General features: G+C 43.7%; 1 long non-coding RNA gene across 1 annotated transcript; it reads left to right on the top strand.

Moving 5' to 3' along the window:
- On the top strand, positions 1-20,444 carry LINC01363 (long intergenic non-protein coding RNA 1363). The gene is made up of 4 exons (NR_110811.1): positions 1-149; positions 650-748; positions 13,613-13,764; positions 18,991-20,444. It is a non-coding gene; the product is annotated as a long intergenic non-protein coding RNA 1363 (long non-coding RNA).
- Positions 20,445-22,504: the final 2,060 nt, after the last annotated feature.

Genomic DNA, 22,504 nt, shown 5'->3' with positions numbered 1-22,504 from the left:
ACCAGAAATAGATCTTGGCATTCCAGGCAACGGAAGAGCCTGAATGTGTCCTGACTTCTTGCTTAGCAAAATTGGATCACCCTGCACTTTGGGAGGCCGAGGCGGGCGGATCACGAGGTCAGGAGATCGAGACCATCCCAGCTAAAACGGTGAAATCCCGTCTCTACTAAAAATACAAAAAATTAGCCGGGCGTAGTGGCGGGCGCCTGTAGTCCCAGCTACTCGGGAGGCTGAGGCAGGAGAATGGCGTGAACCCGGGAGGCGGAGCTTGCAGTGAGCCGAGATCCCGCCACTGCACTCCAGCCTGGGCGACAGAGCGAGACTCCGTCTCAAAAAAAAAAAAAAAAAAAAAAAAAAAAAAAAAGACTAAGGTGTAATCCATCTAGCATATTTCCAGTGACCCAACAGGGGCTAGTGGGCATGAATTTTTACATCTATACCTGACTCTTCCCCCCCAAAATACATGGTCAAAATAAATTAACTCTAATGATTTTATATATTTCCATATGTATAATGCTTTCAGTTATGGGTCTTATTGTAATGGGTTAAAGTAATTTGTTCTTATTCCACCCTTCTAATCATACAAATCAATATTTTAAGCTAAATATTCTCTTTCTCTTTGTGTTTCTGTTTTGTTTTTCCCCTTCAGCCTGATTATAGTAACTGGCTCTGAATTGCTGCTTCTGCTCAACTTCCTGGATGCTAGCAGTACCCAGGGATGTAAAGACCTTTCAACTAGAGCTCATAGGTAAGTGACACAATATGTAAATGAAGAAACTAATTCTAGTCGCTCTTCTGCAGGTAGCTTCCTTTGGGAACTTGGTTAGGCCACTCCACCACTCTGAGACACAGTTTTGTTGTGTTTTGTTTTGTTTTGTTTTTGAGACAGAGTCTCGCTTTATCACCAGGCTGGAGTGCAGTGTACACCATCTTGGCTCACTGCAGCCTCCACCTCCCGGGTTCAGGTGATTCTCCTGCCTCAGCCTCCTGAGTAGCTGGGACTACAGGCACGGGCCACCACGCCCAGCTAATTTTTGTATTTTTAGTAGAGACGGGGTTTTACCATGTTGGCCAGGATGGTCTTGATCTCTTGACCTCGTGATCCACCCACCTCGGCCTTCCAAAGTGCTGGGATTACAGGCGTGAGTCACTGCACCTGGCCAACACAGTTTTACTTTTTGTCAGTGTGGATGATAATCTCTTCTTTGAGGTAAACATTTTTGAGGGAAAAAATGAAATAATAATGAAAGCTAACATTTACCGAGCACTTACAACATGTGTTTCCATGTCCTTTTCTGCTAGTTTTAACATCTGTGTGTGTTCTGAGTTGGGAAAGTCAACTTTAATTGATTAATTATTCTCTTTAATCTGAGTCATGATTTCTTGCTTTTTTGCCTGCCTAGTTATCTTTGACTGGATGCCAGACATTGTGAATTACATATCGTTGGGTGATAGATATTTTTATATTACAATAAATCTTCTTAAGCTTTGTTTCTCAAGAAGAGATGCAGGCCAGGCATGGTGGCTCCCCGCTGTAATCCTAGTGCTTTGGGAGGCTGAGGTAGGTGGATCACTTAAGCCCAAGAGTTTGAGACCAGCCTGGGCAATATGGTGAAACCCCATCTCTCCCCCGCCAAAAAAATTTATATACATGCCAGGTGTGGTAGTGTGCACCTGTGGTCCCAGCTACTCAGGAGGCTGAGGTGGGAGGATAGCTTGAGCCTGGGAGGCAGAGGTTGCAGTGAGCTGTGATTGAGCTACTGCCCTCAGCCTGGGAGACCAGAGTGACACCCTGTCTCAAAAAAAAAAAAAAAAAAAAAAACCAAGAAAAAGAAAAGACAAAGAAGAAGCAGAAGAAGGAATGGAAGGAATGCAGTTACTTGGAAATAGTTTCATCCTTTTGGTCTTGCTTTTATGATTTGTTAGGTGGAAACAGGGCAGTGCTCAGCCTAGGGCTAAATACTCTCCACTACTGAGGCAAGACCTTCTTCCTGAATACTCCACCCAATGTCAAATGAATTAAGTTTTTAAAATCTGACTGAAAAAACACAATTCAGGCACAATTTCTGGCCCTGTGTTAAACCAGGCACTGTGTCCTTTAAAACCTCCTCTTAAAGTTGGTTCCTTCCCCATATTCAGCATTTGGATCAGTATTTTCTCTGCAGAGCTCTGAGATTCTCTTTCTGTGCACCTCTCTCCTGTCTCATATTCTGTCCTCTCAACTTAGACTGCTTTGGTCTCCCCAGACTCTTAGTTTTGTGTCCTCAACTCAATGAGATCACCAGTCTCTGCCTCAGTTTCCCTTCCCTGAGCCATAGCTTGGAAAATGTGTCAAGGCAGTAAACTAGGGTAATTGTAGGGCTCATTAATTTTATTTTCTGTCTCTGCAGGATCACTATCCTTTGTTACCTGATACCCAGTGTCCTGAAACTACTGTTTCATATATCTCATCCCTCTTTTTGTTACTGTTTTAGGCAGCAGGATAAAATCTGGTTCCTGTTATTCAATTATAGCCAGAAGCAGAAGTCAGAACTTTGTGTTTGATGTCACCTCAATTTGGATTAAATTACTAACTTTGTTCCTTAAAGCTTGTGTGATCTCATCAAGTTATATAAACTGCTTGAGTCTTAGTTTATTTTCTGTTAAATGGGATAAACAAACTCTTTTTCAATATGGTACCACAAGAGAAGAATGAGAAAACGTGTGAATCACAGTATGTGCTGATGAAAGAAAGGATGAGCAGCCAGGAAATATGGAAAGAAAAAAATCTCGATGAGAGATTGAGAAGGGAAGAGAGTAAGAGACATGGAGTAGAGATAGCCTGGGAGGGGCCCCTTGGGTAAAGGGGATGGGGAAGAGATGTGGGGGAGTAAATACCAGTGGAGGAGGAGATGGAGATGGCATAACAGAAGTGAGGTAAAGGGAAGGAATTCTGTAGCTGCTCAAGGTTGTGTGGTTGGGGTTCTGCATAGAGATGCCCAGCCTAGGGGTGAATGAGTCTGGAAATCTAACCTGAATGCAGCAATCCAGGCCGTCTTCCCAGAGAAAGGCACTTTTACCTTCTCTCAGAGGCTCCTTCTGCCACCAAGCTATGGCTTATGGGTACATCTGCCTGGAGGCATGTGCTTTCCTAATTTGCACAAGGTGCTGTGAAGGCTGAGAGGCCCTGTCAACAAACACTGGATATGCTGGATATAGAGACACTTATCACCTTAGAGGAAAACATCTCTTTTGGCTTGGAACTTTGGACAGTAAAGAGCTTAATGCCATTTATTCATTTGTTTATTCACTTGTTGGGGCATTCATTCATCCAACAATCATTACAGTCGGTACCACAGTGGGCCAGGCACTATGCTGGGGGCTAGGGATAAAGTGAACAGGGCACAGTTTCTGCTTTCTAGAACAGAGATGTCACAGGTTATGTGATGTGGTACCTGTGGCCTGACAGTGAGAGGAGAGAAGTCAAGGTGGGGACCAAGAGACCACCTGGACTGTAGAGCTGACCAGGTAACTATCACCAGTGGGACAGGATGACTTCTGGTTTGCACTCCCAGTGCATCCAACTCTCTCTACTGCCTATCAGCCTTAGGAAGAAGGATGTTGGCATTAGGTTCGGGGATAGCAGAGCCAGTCTGGTGAGCCTGAGAGAAGTGTTGGGAACTTTTGTTGGAATGTGGAATGCTCAGCAACTGGCATTCTCTCTGAGTACCAGTCAACATCTCTTACATTCTCCCTGAGGGGGTGTGTTCAGCTATCACAAAAAACTATCATCCACACAGGAAAGAAAGACTCTGTCCAGATTTTTAAACCTAACACCCACAGGTTGTTCCTGAGTCTCCTTTGTGGCCTCACTATCATAATTCCATTTTTGTCTTTAGTGTTCAAATCCAGGAATATGTTTAAAATGCTGTATCTGGACTTAGAAAAATAAAATCTGAAGGGACTTGCAGAGGGTGATTTTTTAATTTTAAATTTGCTGAATAGATAAAATAGTCATATGATACAACATGCAAAAGCTACAAAATGATATTTTGAAAGTAAGTTTCCCAGCTACCCAGTTACCTTCTTCAGAAGCAACTGTTACTACCTGTTTTGTATGTCTTTCCAGAGACACTTTATACAAAAGGAAGCAAATATGTACATACATAGGGGCATAGGCTTTTTTATTAATACACAAATGCTGACTCTCTATATAAATATAGATGTACGTATGGTTCTGCAGTTTGCTGTTGCACTTAAATATATAGGAAATCTCTCACCAATTTTAACTTGTTTATTGAGTAATATTAACCCTATGAACATGAAGTGGTTTATTTTTCTCTAACCATTGCTTTCATATGTATCCCATCAAATATCCCTTTCTGATCTGGTTGCACACATACTGGACTTTGCATGCTAACTTTCTGACTTGAATTCATCTTTCTTTCTCTAGTACAAGGTATCAGTCCTATGCTAGCAATGTCCCAAATGAATTACTTTCAGAAAGTGTAAGACTTAAGGAGAAATTTTTGTTTTAAATTAGGAAATACAAAACTCCTTCTTGGGTCAGATTCGTTTTAATTCTCCGAAGTTACTTGGGCTGCCAAATCACATACCTTCCCTTCTTTTTGATTGAAGCTTTGGAGCCTATATTAGTCCGTTTTCACGCTGCTGGTAAAGACATTCCCAAGACTGGGCAATTTACAGAAGAAGGAGATTTATTGGACTTACAGTTCCACGTGGCTAGGGAGGCCTCACAATCATGGTGGAAGGTAAAAGGCAGGGAGGGGCAAGTCGTGTCTTACATGGATGGTGGCGGCAAAAACAGAGAGCTTGTGCTGGCAAACTTCCATTTTCTTAAACCATCAGCTCTCGTGAGATTCATTCACTCTCATGAGAACAGTTCAGGAAAGACCCACCCGCATAACTAAATCACCTCTCACTGGGTTCCTCCCATGACACGTGGGAATTGTGGGAGTTGCAGTTCAAGATGAGATTTGGGTGGGGACACAGCCAAAACGTATCAGAGCCAGGATCCCATTTACTGGGGCTAGGTCCCCACTCAGCTAAGGAAAGGGAAGTTTAGAGAAGAGGACTCCCAGCCTCAGAAGTTCAGCGGCTTCAGAGAGTTCAGGTAGGCAGCGAGAGCAAAGGAGCCAGAAGTGAGAAGCAAAAATGGGGGAATGGTAAAAGGAAGGAGAGGGGAAAGGCAGGAGTCATAGGGTCCCAGAGGAGTGACTGCCTGGCCCAAGTGGGGCTGTTCACTAAATGTTTGTCATGTAACCTAGATCCTGCCAAGCTGCTGTCCCATGTTGGGAGAAATGATGCAAAAGAGGGCCAGGGGGATTTTCTGGGAGTTCAGCAGTGAGAGGTGCTCTGGGGGGTCTCACAGGTGGCCCATGGACCACCGGCACTAGAATTTCTTGCAGCACTTATGACATGCACAGATTGTTGAGCTTTCTTCCAAACCACATCTCTGGGGAGAGGATTTTAGGACTTCCCATGTTTACAGTGTTCCTCCTAGTAATCTAGAAGCACCCTTATATGTTGTCCAAGCTCCATATCTGACCTGACCTGGGAGAATACAGCTAGAGAAAAACCCAGGTCTAAGGAAAGGAAAGCAAAGAATTCAACTAGAAAATAAAGAATGCAAAAAAGCAGACCCCACCCTCACCCCATGGAATGTAAGATGAGTCCCCTAGAAAGAAGCATGGTAGGATGGGGGTGGCTAAGGCAGAAAGCCCACTGAGCAGCCCATAGAGCCAGAGAAGCTTCAAGAGACCTTCCTGGCTGGGCGTGGTAGATCACACCTGTAATCCCAGCACTTTGGGAGGCCAAGGTGGGCAGATCACGCGAGGTCAGGAGTTCAAGACCAGCCTGGCCAACATGCTAAAACCCTGTCTCTACTAAAAATACAAAAATTAGCTGGGTGTGGTGGCGTGCACCTGTAATTCCAGGTACTTGGGAGGCTGAGCAGGAGAATCACTTGAACTCGGAAGGTGGAGGTTGCAGTGAGCCGGAGTTTGCAGTGAGTCAAGAGCGCACCACTGCACTCCAGCCTGGGTGACAGAGCAAGACTGTGTCTCAAAAAAAAAAAAAAAAAAAAAAAAAAAGACCTTCCTGGCTTCCTTTTGGGATATGTTTCTGGGTATAGGGTTCTAGCTGGCTGGCACTTACAAATAATATGAGAAATGGGGCAGATAGTAAGGTAATTCCTGAGGTGCTGGGTCATTGCTTTTGACCCTTAGAAAGTCCTGTAATCACTGCCATCTCTCCAGCTTGTTGCTGCTATCAGTTGCCTGCTCACCACCTTTGGATTTCATTTTGGGGTCTTGTGGTACAGACTCCACTTCTCAGCATCTTGTTAACTTTCTGTTCTGTCTAAGCACTAGTTCACCCACCCTCGTGGATGTGGGGTAAAGTTTACTGAAAGTGAGGTAAAACACTACCAACTTCCAGCACTGGTTGTCCTTACGTATTTATTTTAATGAAATTGAAACCTAACCATTGGCTGTGCTCAGAATAAACTGCATAGTGTATTGTATAACTTGATTTTGATCACTGCCTGAGAATGCCAATGACCGTTGAGAGGCCATGCTCTGAGGCTCATGTGATCAGTATGTACTACATTGTGGATTCACCAGCATCATTTGAAAATGTGCTCTGCCATGATGACACCCATGCGGGAGCAGGCAGTTTTTTGCCTTTGTACAAACAGCAGGAGACTAACTTAGGGCAGATTAATTTTTTTAGCCTGAGTATCAATTCATACTTATTTAAAGTTTAATACCCCCTATACAAATGTTCAAGAGAAAAGTCAATACATAATCTTGGTAGCCATTCTTAGACAATTATTATAACATGATGACTACCTGAAAATGAAATTTTTCCAAATTATAAAGTGGCTGCTTGATTTTTCACAATGAAAATTGTACAAATTGTTTTCAAAGGTATTTTAAATCCAATTTGTGCTAATTCAGCTTGTGCTAAGTAAGTAACATTAGCTAGAAATGCTTTTAACATATTTGAAAAGTTTCAAAATGTTTTCCTCTATTTCCTTTGTTTTCAATTTTTCCATTTATCCATTTTTCCTCTGCCTTTCTCCCTTCCCCTTGTTCTTTAATTATTTCAGAGAATTTTGTTAAAGAATCTGAGACCATGCGAAGATCTTAGTATTTTTGTTGTTTGTTTATTTGTTTTTAAAAACAATCCCTGTTCATCAAAATCTCCTAGTATGCTTTTCCAAAAATGTAGACTCCTTGGCCCTACCTATGGAAAGGAGTCTGTACTTCTTTTTTTTTTTTTTTTTTTGAGACAGAGTCTCACTCTGTTCCCCAGGCTAGAGTGCAGTGGTACAATCTTGGCTCTCAACAACCTTTGCCTCCCAGGTTCAAGCAATTCTTGCGGCTCAGCCTCCCAAGTAACTGGGACTACGGGTGCATGCCACCACACCCAATTAATTTTTTGTATGTTAGTATAGATAGAGTTTCACCACGTTGCCCAGGCTGGTCTCTAGCTCCTAAACTCAGGCAATCCACCCATTTCGGCCTCCCAAAGTCCTCAAGTTCTAGGATTACAGGCGTGAGCCACTGTACCCGGCAAGTCTGTACTTTTAAAAACTTTCAACTGGGTGCGGTGGCTCACGCCTGTAATCCCAGCACTTTGGGAGGCCGAGGCCAGCAGATCACCTGAGGTCGGGAGTTCGAGACCAACCTGACCAACATGGAGAAACCCCATCTCTACTAAAAATACAAAATTAGCCAGGCGTGGTGGCGTGTGCCTGTAATCCCAGCTACTTGGGAGGCTGAGGCAGGAGAATTGCTTGAATCCAGGAGGTGGAGGTTTTGGTGAGCTGAGATCTCACCATTGCACTCTAGCCCGGGCAACAAGAGTGAAACTCCGTCTCAAAAAAACAAAACAAAACAAAACAAAACATTCCAAGTAATTCAAAGAGGGACTCCCAGCTGAAAACCGTGGCTCTTCAGCATATGACAGAGATTCAGTTCATTGATTCACTTGCTCACTCAATGTGTATAGGGCACATCTGTGGATTAGACACTATTCTTGGTGCTTGAGATCAATCAGAAAACCAAGCTTACAAAAATTCTTGCCTTTGCAGAGCTTACACCATAGCATCTCTTAAAACAAAACAAAACAAAATAAAAAACCCATTCAGACCTCTGCACCGTCCACCAACTCAGATTACACCCATAAACTCTGTTGCCTATCTTGCACAAAATGTTTGTGGCTTGGTCATAGAAGGCTTATCTATGCCTAGATAAAATATGGAAGGATAAGAGCATGAATCCTAAAAGTGAAACCAATGGCAGGTATACAAGAGCCATCGTCAATGATTTCCTCCCTCCCCATACTGTCTTCTTGGAGAACTTGCCCTCACTCCCATCTCAGAATTTCTGCTCCCATAGTTTCTACTGAGTGGGTCCTGAGCTACATGCATCCTATCATGGCTGAGCTGCTTGGACCAGGGGCAGATACATGATCAAGCTGGGTCAATCTAATTTTCTTCTGGAAGTTTAGAATGTACACTTAGAAAATTCAGTGGAGTTGCTAATTAAAATGCTTGCAAGGGTCTAGAGTGTAACATAATGACTGATACAGGTATAAGGAAACCAATAGCACAACTGCTATGGTAGACAGCATCTGATCCATGATCTTGGGGTCTGGGATCCTGCTATGAACTGGATGTTTGTGTTTCCCTGGCTTAGTTCATTTTGTGCTGCTATAACAGAATACCACAGACTAGGTGATTTATAAAAAATAGAAGCTTATTTGGCTCATGGTTCTGGAGGCTGGGAAGTCCAGATGGTGCTGGCATCTGGTGAGGGCCTTTGTGCTGCATAATCCCATGGTGAAGGGCAGAAGGCAGAAGGGCAAACAAGCGTGTAAGACAAAGAAAGGATGGGGGCCAGAATGTATCCTTTTATCAGGAACCCATTCCCACAATAACTAACTGCTCCTGTGATAATGACATTAATCCATTCCTAATCACTTCTTAATACCGTTACTCTGGCAATTAAATTTCCACATGAGTTTTTGAGACCATAGCACTCCCCAAAATTCATATGTTGAAATCCTAACCCATAATGTGATGGTTTCTGGAGATGGGACCTTTAGGAGGTAATTAGCTCACGAGGGTAGAGACCTCATGATAGAATTAGTGACCTTGTAAGAAAAGACATGAAAGAAATTCCTTCCTCTCTCTATTCTTTGCCATGTGAGAGAACCAGAAAGACAGCCCTCACCAGAAACCAACCATGCTGGCACCCTGGTCTCAGACATCCCAGCCTCCAGAACTGTGAGAAATAAATGTTTCTTGTTTGCACCACCCAGTCTGCAGTATTCTTGTTAGAGCAGCCTGAGCCAAGATAGATACAATAGAGATAGTGGCAAACTGGAGAGCACAGGCTCTGTGCCAAGGAGGTGGCCATCATTCAACTCCAGCCGATTGCTGTCACATGTAATCCCAGTTTGCCAGTTTTTCTGATATTTACAGAAGTCCAGAATTCATGTTTTCATATGAAATCTCAAAATAATTATTTTATATTTGAAAAAAATTCGTGTCGTCCAAAGCAAACACAGTTGCAGGCCATGTCTGCTGTAGCACACCAGTTTGCATTCTCTGGCTGCTCCAGCCAGTCTCTAGACTGTCCTTGTTGGAAACAAGGACAAGAAAGTATGGCAAACCAGGGGCTGAGGACGCTGTGTTTGGTACACGTGTCCAGGGAAGCGGAGACAGCCACATTGCAGATATAAAATAAAAGAGTGGTGATGACAAAAGCAGAGATTAAAAAACAACCAACCAACAAAAAACAAACTAAAAAGTGGTAGAAAGAGAGACCTGGGTCCTGACAGCATAGTTTTTATTCTAGTTTTTTCTTCTGGTATGTAGCTCTGGACCTTGGTTTCTGTAAGATAGCCATGTTTTCTTATTATTTATTTATTTATTTATTTATTTATTTGCTTTTTGAGATGGAGTCTCACTCTGTCACCAGGCTGGAGTGCAGTGGTGTGGTCTCGGCTCACTGCAACCTCCGCCTCCCAGGTTCAAGCAATTCTCCTGCCTCGGCCTCCCGGGTAGCTGGGACTACAGGTGCCCGCCACCATGCCTGGCTAATTTTTCTTTTTCCCCCCGAGATGGAGACTTGCTCTTGTCGCCCAGGCTGGAGTGCAGTGGTGCGATCTCGGTTCACTGCAACCTCCACCTCCCAGGTTCAAGCAATTCTCCTGCCTCCGCCTCCCGAGTAGCTGGGATTACACGTGCCTGCCACCACACCCAGCTAATTTTGGTAATTTTAGTAGAGACGGGGTTTCACCATGTTGGCCTCAAACTCCTGACCTCATGATCCGCCCACCTTGGCCTCCCAAAGTACCGAGATTATAGCCATGAGCCACTGCGCCCAGCCTCTTGTTTCCTTATAATAAATCACCTTTTTTTTTTTTGCTTAAACTTCTGTTACATACACACAGTCACTAATAAAGGTTGTGGGTGTTTGTTGTCTTCTTCCTAGTCAAAGGGTAGCATTGTTACTAAGCATTAGCATAACTACTATTGACTCTTCTGTGTGTCAGTGGGTTTGATATATATCAGTAGCAACATATGGTCTTGGCATGTGGTTTTGATTTATTGAAATGAACCAATGTTCACCTAAACCAGTGGTTTCCAGACCTGGCTGTGCATCAGAATCATCTGGAGAGCCTTGGGGGAAAATATACATCCTCTGGATGACCCCAGACCTGGACAATCAGAGACTTCTCAGGTGCAGCCTGGAGACCACATTACAAGCTCCCCAGGGGATTCTGATGCAGCCAGCCCAGCACCTGTCTGAGAATCAGAGTTTGGGAACCACCATGAGAGACCACCATCAGGGATGGGCCATGCCTGAGTTGGGGTTGGCAGTGTCAGGTAGAATCAGTTGCTTGGCTGTTGAAAAAGTATCTCTTCTTTACCAAGAAGTTGAAAAAGAAAAGGGGAAGAAAAAAATGATCTCAAACAGATACCAACTTCCAAATTAGATTATCCTATGTTATAGTCCAAAAGTTTCCCACCATGCCCCCATATCCTCTCTGGAATTGAGGTAGTAGGTTGGGAGTAAGAGACTCTGGAGCCTCTTGGTTAAATTCCATGTGGGAATTACAATTGTCTAATTTCCTTTTATTACATGGTGGTGAAGGAACATTACTGCTGAAAGAGCTGTCTATGAAGCTTCTTTGTAATATGACAGAAGTGCCCAGATGAGTGAGTGGACCCTCAGATCTTGGGGCTAATAACATTAAAGACAGTTGTAATCACAGCCCTCTTAACTTAAAACACTCCAAATACCTCATAAAGGCAGGAGCTTTAGATGGTAATGTGATTTCCAATACTTAAATAAGCATTGTATCTTCTAATATGCACTTCTGGAGTGTGTGAGCTGTTGCTCAGCCAGAGCAGGGGTCACTTAGTTGTAGATCTGGTTACTTTTTTGAAGCTGTTATTGTATATGCAGGCAAGACCTGAACTGGCCGAGCATGACTTCCACCATGCTCTGTTGATCAAAACAGCCAGGCTTTCCCTGATTTAAGGAGAAGAGAAATAAACCCCATCTCTTTACAGAAGGAATGTCAAAAAATTATTAGCCATCTTTAACCTGCCTCTTCAAGTTTCCTTTCATTAATGAGGTCATCTGTTTTGGTTACTGAGGGAAACTCAAAACTCTCGGGACCTAGATACCTGATAATGCTGAACAGCTACATTTTCCCATATATTTTATTATATGGGAATGGATGGCAATAGTTAACTATCAATAAACATTTATTGAGCACTCATGGTAGACGGAACTTTGTATTGTGATAACAATTATAGAAATCAATTTTGTAGTAACAATTGTAGAAATCACAATCTTGGTTTCAGTAAATATACTTGGGCTATACTGAATGTGAATGGGACACATCTAGAAGATAAGGTCAAGGACAATATGGTTCTAAGAACTGAGATGGGAATTTATCTCAGAACCGAGGTCTCTGTGGTGCTGTGAATCTCTGGTTCTTGGCCTCCTTGACTCTTGACTTCCTGATATGACACAAGAACATTGGACTTGGCTTGGCCTTCAAGGCTTATGTCCTCCTGGTTCCACCTTTTTGTTCTCCTGGTGTTTGATTTGCTGCTTTTTCCTGCTCTGTACCCTGAGGTCTCTGCCTCACTGCTCTTGACCAGCTTCTGACCAACACATTGCCTGAAGTCTGACTTGGGTCTATTTCTAGCTCCCGAGGCTCTACCTTGAGGCTCTGCTAAAAGTGTGCAACTGTTCTACACAGACATAGCTGATCTTAGCACACTTTCTCAAAACCTTGACTTACTGGAAGAGACTTAAGTGTCATCATACCAGTGATCTTTAATCTCCTTCATTTCATTGAAGTGGTCCCTGAGCCCATTGAAGAAAATTGAGCATAATTGGGCTGTGCTATTGGTGGAGGCAAGAACTTTGAGAAGAAGTAACAGGAAAAAGAAAGCTCTTTGGGCTAGTGATGTGTTAAAGAGTCTTCATCTATAAGCCATTATGATAGATGGTATTTCAGCTGGCTAAATACTTCAGTTTCCTTTCCATAGGAGGGTTGTGCATTGCCATTTCACTGAAGTCAGGTTTGGTCACAGGACTTACTTTGGCCAAAGAAATGTGAGTGAGGTCACCAAATGGCCCCTAGGGATCCTCTTCTTCAGGCATTCATGCCCTAGTGTAACCCCCTTCTACACTGAGTCAGGGATGGCCCTGTGGTCAATAGAGTATGGCAGGAGTGACAATATGTGATTTCAAAGATAAAGTTATACAAAGCTTCTGACTTCCCATTTAGGATCATTGGTCTGGGAAAGTCATGAACTATAGTATGAGGACACTAAAACAACTCCATGAAAAGACAAACATGGAGAGCAACTGAAGCCCCAGCCAGTAACCAGCAACAACTTGCCAGCCTTATGAATGAGCTACTTTGAAAGTAGATATTCCAGCCCTAGACAAGCCTTCAGATGAGGCAGCCTCAGCTACAATCTCATGAGAGATCTTGAACCAGAGCCATGCAGCCTGAATTCCTGACCCACAGAAACTGTGAGATAATAAATGACTACATTTTGAAGTGATTTGTTATACAGCAATAGGTAGCTAATACCATGAGTATAAGTAATATGTGTTGCTTCCCACAATGTGAAAACATTAAGAGCCAACTTGTGTTTTCCCAAGTTCTCTTTCACTTCTAAAATGATACCTGTTATGCTCCACGCAGAGATTGCTTTATGAATTTGGGTCCTAGAATAAAGGCAACATGGAGTGCAACCATAGCTGATCCTAGATGAATGTGGCGCATGAGCAAGAAATAAGTTTTTGTGGTTGTAAGTCCTTGAGATTTTGGGGTGGTCTACTACCACAGCATAACCTAGCCTATTTTGGCTAATATAGCTACAGATCATCCATATTCCAAGTTAAATTCAAATTGTATCTTTTTTTTAAAGATATGCATTAATGGGGGGATTACTGGAGGTAGAAGAGATATCTGATGTATATGTGGATAGTAACTGCAGGGAAGAGGGAACTAGAGATTCGACAGTCCTGTCCTGAGCATCCTGCCCTGTCCTCTCTTTCAGCAGGCCCTTGTGTCTGAGAATGACTGCTTCTGTGATCTGATGAGCACACGTGGTGTGCATCCAGTGGCTCTGCTCTTAAACTAGGCCCATGACTACCAACAGTCATTCTTCCTGGGCTGCTGAGACCAGAAAATAAAAGTGCCTTCCAAAGGGTGAGTGGGCATTGCTCAATGACTGCTAATAGCTATTCTACATGCTGGGTAACAGTTTTTGGATGAGTTAGAAAAAAATCCAGATTTTATTGACTTTATTGCTAATTATATCATCTTTGGAAAGGAACCACCTGGAGGAAGGGAGGAGAAAAGAGTTCAAACTCATCTGCAGAGTTGTATGTCTTTTCCCAGTTTAGGAGTCATTACTTACATAATCTCTTGAGAGAGTAGCCTGGAACACCATGTGTGGCATTTTTCTAATTAAGAGATGCAAGGTAGGGGAAAAGTATATGAGCATTACTCAAGGTATAACAGAGAGATACAAAACAGGGGAAAAGTATATGAGTGTTACTCAACTGAGTAACAACTGAGAGATACGAAATGGGAAAAATGTATGAGTGTTACTCAAGTACAACTGAGAGATACGAAATGGGAAAAGTATATGAGCGTTATTCAAGTATAACTGAGAGATACAAAATGGGGTAAAAGTATATGAGCGTTACTCAAGTATAACCGAGACATATGAAGCAGGGGGAACATATGTGAGCATTGTCTCAAGCTGATTTGTGAGGTGCAATGGGCATTGTCAGATTCAGGCTCCCAGCATTCAGGTACCTTGAGAGAGGGCCAGACACTAATGCCCTGAGAGGACACAGAGAGAAACAGGAAGCCATTTGCCCCTTGATATGATGAATCCTGGGGTAATTTTGGAAGTTAGCTGGCCTTCTGTGGAGAAAGACAAAGAATCAGTCCAGTTATTCCTTTGCCCTCCTATCCCCAGAGGGGACTGAATTTTATCTCCCCGTGTCCAGGGCACCTCATTCTTATAACTTCTGTGATCATTCTGGTGCTCTTCTCTAAATCTTCTTCCCCAGGTCTGACCTCAGTTGAATTCCAGACCTGAATTTGAAGCTTCCTCTGGGTATCTCCCTCCATGTATGTCTTTCTCTCCTACATGTACCTCAAACCTCTCCATCCACCAAGCCAACTGGCTTCTCATCCTTCATTGCCAATTTCCTTTAACCTCTCTTATAGGGACCCAGGCTAGAAACTTTGCAGTCCTTTCTGACAGCTTCCATGTAGGCTCAGCCTCAAAAAGCCTATCATGCCTGCAGCCCTTCCCCAAAACATTTCTTCTAGCCAGGGTGCCCTGCTTAGACAAAGTGACCTTGCCTCCCTGTCCACAGCTGACTGGACTCGAAGCACTGGCAGCCAAATTACTGAGACTGTTGCCTCACAGAGACAATGGATATAAACTGAATTGTCAAGACCTTCCCTCTCAAAGTTCCAACTAGAGATGCAGAGAGCAAGTCGATTAGCCAGTGGGGAGTAGAAGTTAAAAGACACATAGAGGAAAGATGAGAGGCAGATATAAAATCACGTGCCACAAGTCTGCAAAAGCAAAGGGGAAGCAAGTTGTGAGACAAGAGAAGTCCTTAGTAGCAAGCTACAGAGCAATAGCAGATAGAAGACCAATGGCGTGCTGCTGCTGACGGGTGGCAAGGCAACCTCCTAATAGCACTTCTTCCAGTGCCTGAATAGCGCTTGCGGAGGGCCTGGTTTATGGCTTCTCCTCTGTCATCGTTCCCCTTGTTTGGTGCATTTGAGTGAGAGTCTGTTTTGCACATTTCAGAGTCTAACACCTCCCCCACCCTCTCAGACCCCCAATTCAATCAGTAAACAAGTCCCAGAAATTCTAACTCCAATGTATCTACTAACTGCCACCTCCTCTCTCTTCCCTTTGGCACTGCTCAGTCCAGGCCCTCGCTTTTTGTGGATTTTTTTGTTTGTTTGTTCTGTTTTTTGTTTTGAGACAAGGTCTGGCTCTGTCACCCAGGCTGGAGTGCAGTGCCACAATCTTGGCTGACTGAAACCTCCACCTCCCAGGCTCAAGCCATCCTCCCACCACAGCCTCCCAAGTACCTGGGACTACAGGTGCACACCACCACACCAGCCTACTTTTTGTATGTTTTGCAAAGACAGGGTTTTGCCATCTTGCCCAGGTTGGTCTCAAACTCATGAGCTCAAGCAATCTGCCTCTGGCTGCCTCGGCCTCCCAGAGTGCTGGGATTACAGGTCTGAGCCACCATGCCCGGCCAGGCCCTTGTTTTTTCTCATCTAGCCTGCTGTATGAGCATCCTGACGTGTCTCCAGTTCCTCCCTCACACAGCCTTCAGAGATCCTGTCTAACGCATATTTCAGTGCTTTGGTCCTTGATCATCTCTAACAGGTCCCTATTGCTGACAGGTCAGTCCACATTTCTTGACAGGGCATTCAAGGCTGATTATGATTTGGCTTCAAATTTCTCTTCAGCTTTAGCTTCCACTACATCTATCTTAGTTATCTCTTGCTGCATAACCTATTACCCCCAAATTTAGCAGCTTAAAACAATAAACATTTATCATTTCACATGGTTTCTGGGTACCTGAGAACAGCTTGGCTGGGAGGTTCAAGGTGAGGGTCACTCTCAAGGTTGTGGTGAAGTTGTGATCCAGGGCTGCAGTCATCTGAAGGTGATGGAGGATCCATTTCGAAGGTCACTCATGTGCTGCTGAAACTTCAGTCCCTCAATACGTGGGTCTCTTCATAGGGTGAGTGATCCAAGACAAATAAGGCATAGGAGACAGTGACCAAGATGGAAGCTGGAGTGTCTTCTATAACTTATTTCAGAAGTGGCACACCATCCCTTCTACTGTGTTCCACTGGTTGCACAGACCAACCCTGATACCGTGTGGGAGAGGACTATAGAAACGTGCGAATACCAGGAGGTAGGAGTTCCTAAGGCCATATTATGGGCTGGCTAGCTCAGTCTCCCTCTACAACTTTTGCTTTCTGACCTGTCATACCCTAGCATGACTCTGGGCCTTAGTTCAAGTCTATTCCCACAGTCCAGGAGACTTTTTATACATCAAAATCCTATTCATTTTTTAATGCCCAGAACAGTCACCTCCTCCTTGAATCTTTGATTTCTACAGGCAGAATGAATCACTTTTCTCTTTGAACTGACACAGTCCTCTGCTTTCTGTGTTTGGCTCCATCTTGTGCAATAGTTACCTGTTTACATGTTCATCTGCTTTCTAGAGGAGCAGGATCTTTCTTTACTTATTATTTCTATTATATTCACTGAAGAAAACCCAGAATACCAATAAGAACGAAAAAAAGAAAAAAAAATGACCTGAAATCTCAGAAATTACCCAGAGACCATCATCCTATGGCTGGAGCCTGGGCCAACACCATGGAGGGCAATACAAATGATGGGGCCTGATGGTCAGGAAGGGGCCAGGGCCCACTGTGCTTTACAGTTCCAGCAGCTAGGCCCTTGCTGGAAGGGCCTCGCATGTGTGTTCACCAGGACCACGTCTCCTCTCAGGTGCTACCCTCAGAGGGCTGCTCCAACGGCCTGGCTCACCTGTGATGGGTGCAGTGTGGAAGAAAGAGCACACACAGCCCTGGGATTTCCTGATCTTACATTGACCAGCTTGCAACTGGGAAACTTACTTCAACTCTCAGAGCTGCAGGTTACTTATCAGGAAATCGAGTATCATCTTACCTGCCATTGAGTTTTTGAACAAGGCCTGGCACATCATAGTCGCTCAAAAGTGATAGGTTTCTGCTCCTTCCCTCGGAAACAAATTATAGTAGATGGTTCCTGTTATAGACTGCACATGTGTGTCCCTGCCCAAATTCGTGTGTCAAAATCTTAACCTCCAATGTGATGGTATTAGAATGTGGAGTCTTTAGGCGGTAATTAGGTCATGAAGGTGGAGCCCTCTTCTAAGAAGAGACATGAGAGAGCTTGATCTCACTCTGCTCTCCACCATCTGAGGATACAAGGGAGGGTGGCCATCTACAACCCAAGCACTTCTTGGGCCCTCCCCAGACACTGGATCTGCCAGCACCTTGATCTTGGACTTCTCAGCCTCCAGAACTGTGAGACATAGATGTTTATTGTTTAAGCCATCCATTCTATAGCAAATTGTTATAGTAGCCCAAACTGATTAAGACAGAAATTGGTACTGAGAAGTGGGGTGCTGCTGTAACAAACACCTGAACATGTGGAAGTAGCTGTGGAACTGGGTAATGGGTAGATGCTGGAAGACTTTTGAGGTACATGCTAGAAAAACCCAATATTGCTGCAAAGGGACGGCTAAAGGGAGGTCTGTTGGAGGTTCACAAGGAGAGGGGAGACCTGTAGAGAAAACGTATTTTTTGGAGAATATGTAAGTTATCATGAGCACAATATTGGTTGAAATATGTATGGTAAAGGCCATTCTGATGAGGTCTCAGATGGAAATGAGGAGCACATAGGACAATGAAGAAAAGCCCATCTTTGTTATAGAGTAGCAAAGAGCTTGGCTGAATTGTGTTCAAATTCTATTGTTTTGTGGAATGTAGAACTTGCAAGCAATGATCCTGGATATTTAGCTGAGCAGATTTTTAAGTAAAATGTTGAAGGAGAGGCATGGTGTGTCCTGACTTCTTGTGGTAAAATGCAAGAGGAAAGAAATGACTTAAGGACAGAATTGTTAAGCAAACAGGAACCAGAACTTAAAGATTTGGAAAATTCTCAGCCTTTTCATAACACAAAAGTGAGAAAGTATGTTCAGAAGAAAACACTAAGGAGGTGGCAAACTGACATTTTAATAAGGAGATTAGTGCAGATGTGAATCATGGACTTAATCAGCCATCTCAAAAAAACATCAAGAATAGAGATGAGATTATACCAGCAGAAACACTGCCAGCTGGGACTAACAGAAACAGAGAAAACAGGAAGGGACAAGGGAGGGAGGGAAGGAAAGAAGGAAGGAAGGAAGGAAAGGAAGGAAGGAAGGAAAGAAGGAAAGAAGGAAAGAAGGAAAGAAGGGAGGGAGGGCGTGGAGGGAGGGAAGGAAGGAAGGACATGGGAAGAAGGCCCCCCGAAGGTGATTCACAGAACATCGGGCAATTCCCTAGGTTTCAACAGGGTAGAGGGCCTTCAAAAGAAGCCATGACAATGTGCCTCCCAGAGCTTTGCAGGTGATATTGCCACCCCAGTGGGCATGGAGGACAGATCATCAAGCCAAAGAGGATTATTCTCAAGCCTTAAGACCTCATGGGATTTGCCTTAGTGAGGCCCCATCACCTTTTCCTTCTCTCCAACTTCTCCCTTCTGGAATGGGACTGTCTATCCTCTGACTATCCAACCATATTGCACTTTTGAAGCACATTACTTGTTTTGTTTCACAGGTTCACAGATGCAGAGGAATTTTGCCTCAGGATGAATTGCATCTTCAGTCTCACCCAAACCTGATTTAGATAATATTTCAATGAGACTTCGGACTTCAGACTTTACAGTTGATGCTGCAACCAGTTAAGGCTTTTGGGATTGTCGGAATGGAATGAATGTATTTTGCATGTGAGAAGAACATGAAGTGTGGGGGGGCCATGGGCAGAATATTATGGATTGCATGATTTTGTCTCCCCAGAATACATATGTTGAAATTCTAATCCCCAATGTGATGGTATTATGTGGTGGGAACTTTGGGAGGTAATTAGGTTATGAGGGTGGAGACCTCATGTAAAGGATTAGTGCCCTTATAAGAAGAAACACAAGAGCTTGCTTCCTCTCTCTGCTCTCCACTATGTGAAGATAGAACAAGAAGATGGCCATCTGCAAACCAGGAAGAGAGCCCTCATCAGACACTGGATCTGCCAGCACCTTGATCCTGGACTTCACAGCCTCCAGAACTGTGAGAAATACATATATGTTTTTTAAAGCACCCAGTCTGTGGCATTTTGTTGTAGCAACCTGAGCTAAAACAGTTGCTATTGAACTCTGTTCAGAGCTCCAGATGTCCTGTGCTGGCACTGGGCAGGGTGCTCTCCTGGGCCATTTCATCAGCTCAGAGGCCTCACCTTCCACCATATGCTGAAGACCTCAAATCTACATCACAGTGAGACCTCCCCTGAGGTCTAGGCTATTAAGTTGTAAGATCTATAAAAGCTTTCATCACCTCACTTCCCTACTGGCCTTTACTCACCCTTCAAAATGATAATTGTGTTAGTCATTGAAAGATGTGGCTGGGATGAGAGTTCAGTTTACAGACTCTGCAGCTGGACTGCCTGGGTTCTGCCCTGGTTCCACCATTAACTAGCTGGTATCCATGGACAAATTGGTATCTTCTCGGTGCCTCAGCTCCCTCTTTTCTAGAATGAGGGGTAATGACAGTGTCTCCCTCATAGATTGGATGTGAGGATTAGATGAGTTTAACAGATGTAAAGTACTTACAACAGTTCCTGGCACATAATAAGCTCTTACTATATCAGGAACTAGCTTATTCTGTGCTTGTTAGTGTTTTAATTTAATTCTTAGAGTAGCCCGATGAGGCTTTGAGAGAACTTGCCCAGTTCCAGAGCTTAAGCTCTCAACTCCGTGCTGTTTTCTTGTCTTAAGGCATAAACACTGTTGAGCCTTGGCCGATTCCTGGCAGAGCCAGGCGCTCCCTCCTCCATGTTGTCACCCTACTCCAGGCTTGCTCACCCTACTGTGGGCTTGTGCATCAGCTCTCCACAGCTGCTTCTCACCTGTAAAAAATCAGGCTTCGTTTGTCTCATTCTTGCCATAGAATGCCTTGTCCAATTATATGCAAGCTTAGTACATGTTGTTAAATAAAAGATTCAATAAACGAATTCATAAACATATTAATTGAAATGGCTGCTTTACCTCCTTTCTTCTTCCAAATAGTGTATAATATGCAACTTATTTTAAATTACTGTTTCATTACAAAAGTATTACATGTTCATCATAGAAAACTTATCTGTTTATATATGTGCATGCACACACACACACACAGCGGTATCTTAAATGTGGCCCTTCCAGAGGCCATGTCCTCATCTTTGAGTCCACACTATAAGATAACTCACAGTTTTTAAATAAACTTTTTTTTAAGGGTATTTTAGATTAACAGAAACATAGTAAAGATAGCACAGAGAGTTCCCATATACCCCACATCAAGCGTCCCCTATTATTGGCATCTAACATTAGTATGGTACATTTGTCACAATCAATGAACCAATTTTGAGAAATTTTTATTAACAGAGTTCTGCACTTCATTCAGATTTTCTGTTTCCCCCAGTGCCTCTTTTCTGTCCCAGAATCCCATTCAGTTTACCACACTCTACTTAGTTGTCATGTCTGCTTAGGCTCCTCTTGGCTGTGACAGTTTCTCAGTCTTTTAAGATCTGAAAAAATACCTAGTGGGTTATGTAGATCAAGCCATTCTCCCCACCACGGCTCTAGCTGGTGTGCTTTCCCTGAAAGGAATATTCAGATGAAGCTTCTGGAGATTAAACAGGAGCCACAGAACTAGTTGGTGGAAGAACCTGAATTAAACTCTATACCTCCTGACGTCCCAGTGGTGAGAATGTCCAACCACATGGGGAAGATGGGGCCATGGCCAAGGAAGGAGGGAGACACAGCACAGCTCAGAGCCACCCCACGGCAGTGACTTGTCAGCTGGTTAGGCAAATTTTTTGGTGGTTTCTTCTCCCGGTTCTTGCATTAGGTCTTCCCAAGCCAGGGACTATGATCTCTCAGGTGAGAGTTTTTCTCCTCCTACCGTGGCAACTCTCTGCTTTCCTCTGGAATCAGACACTTGCTTTCCATTCCCCACTGTCTAGCCCCTGCCTCTCAACTATGTATTTTCGTGGCAATCCTAAGTCTGGGAGATCAAAATTAATAACCTATCTTGTCCTCGGGTCAGGGTTAACCACATTAGCCACACTCCTTGGTGTCCTCACATACTCTCTTTCTTTTTAAATTGTATTTATTTATTTACTTTTTACTGATCCTCTCCACATTAAGACTCCCTTTCTTTTTAAAATCTCTTTTTATTTATCCTTCCTTTCTGTCTCTCTCCACTCTCCTTACCGCAGCTCCTCTCCCAACACTGGACTAGGAGAGGATTGGGAACAAACCAAAAAAAAAAAAAAAAGGAATTTTTAAGCCTGTCACCTCTGGTCTATTTCTTTTCATCTTCTAAGCTAAATTCCAAATGGGTAATTGCATTAGTCATCCCCCACTCCAGCCTTCCCTGTGGAGCGAGCCCTTGAGCTCTCTCTCCCTCATTCTTTCATGGAGTTGGGGCACAGTTTATAAAAGTCCCCATCCCTAAATTCTCAATCTGTACCCTCTCTGGAACTTGTCTCTTCCCAGAAACTAGCTATTCTAATCTTAACCGAAGCTGCAAAGGCTTCTAGAACATAACTTTTCTCCTTGTCACATCTTGCAGCCATTGAAGGACACAGAAAGCTAGTTGCTACTGCTGCTGCTGTAAGGAAAATGAGTCAGAGAGCACTGGGGGAGCCCTGCTGAGAAAGGGGCCAGGGCATGGGCTAAGATGGGATAGAATGTGCCACGGGATTTAGGAAAGTGTGGGCTGGATGTGAAATTGGGCACAACCAAACTGAATTGCAGTGCTGATTATTACAAATGGAATAAAAGTTTGTCGATTTTCCTTACAAATTTGACATTTTCTCCAGGGTAGCCCTAGTTTTCTCTTTTGTGGGCAGGGCCTGGACAATTTCCCTAGGACCATTCATCATATCTTCCCACCTGGCTCCAGCCCCCAAATACACATTGAGATACATGAAGAAGCCACCATCTCTCCCTGGGGAGTTTCCCTCTCATTGGACTTCCTTGTTGTATTTTGTATTAGTCTGCACTCATGCTGCTAATAAAGACATACCCAAGACTGGGGAA

The sequence above is a fragment of the Homo sapiens genome, chromosome 1, assembly GCF_000001405.40.
Source record: "Homo sapiens chromosome 1, GRCh38.p14 Primary Assembly".
In the NCBI taxonomy this organism is placed as follows: Eukaryota; Metazoa; Chordata; class Mammalia; order Primates; family Hominidae; genus Homo; species Homo sapiens.
This window is presented reverse-complemented; position numbering and strand designations above follow the sequence as displayed.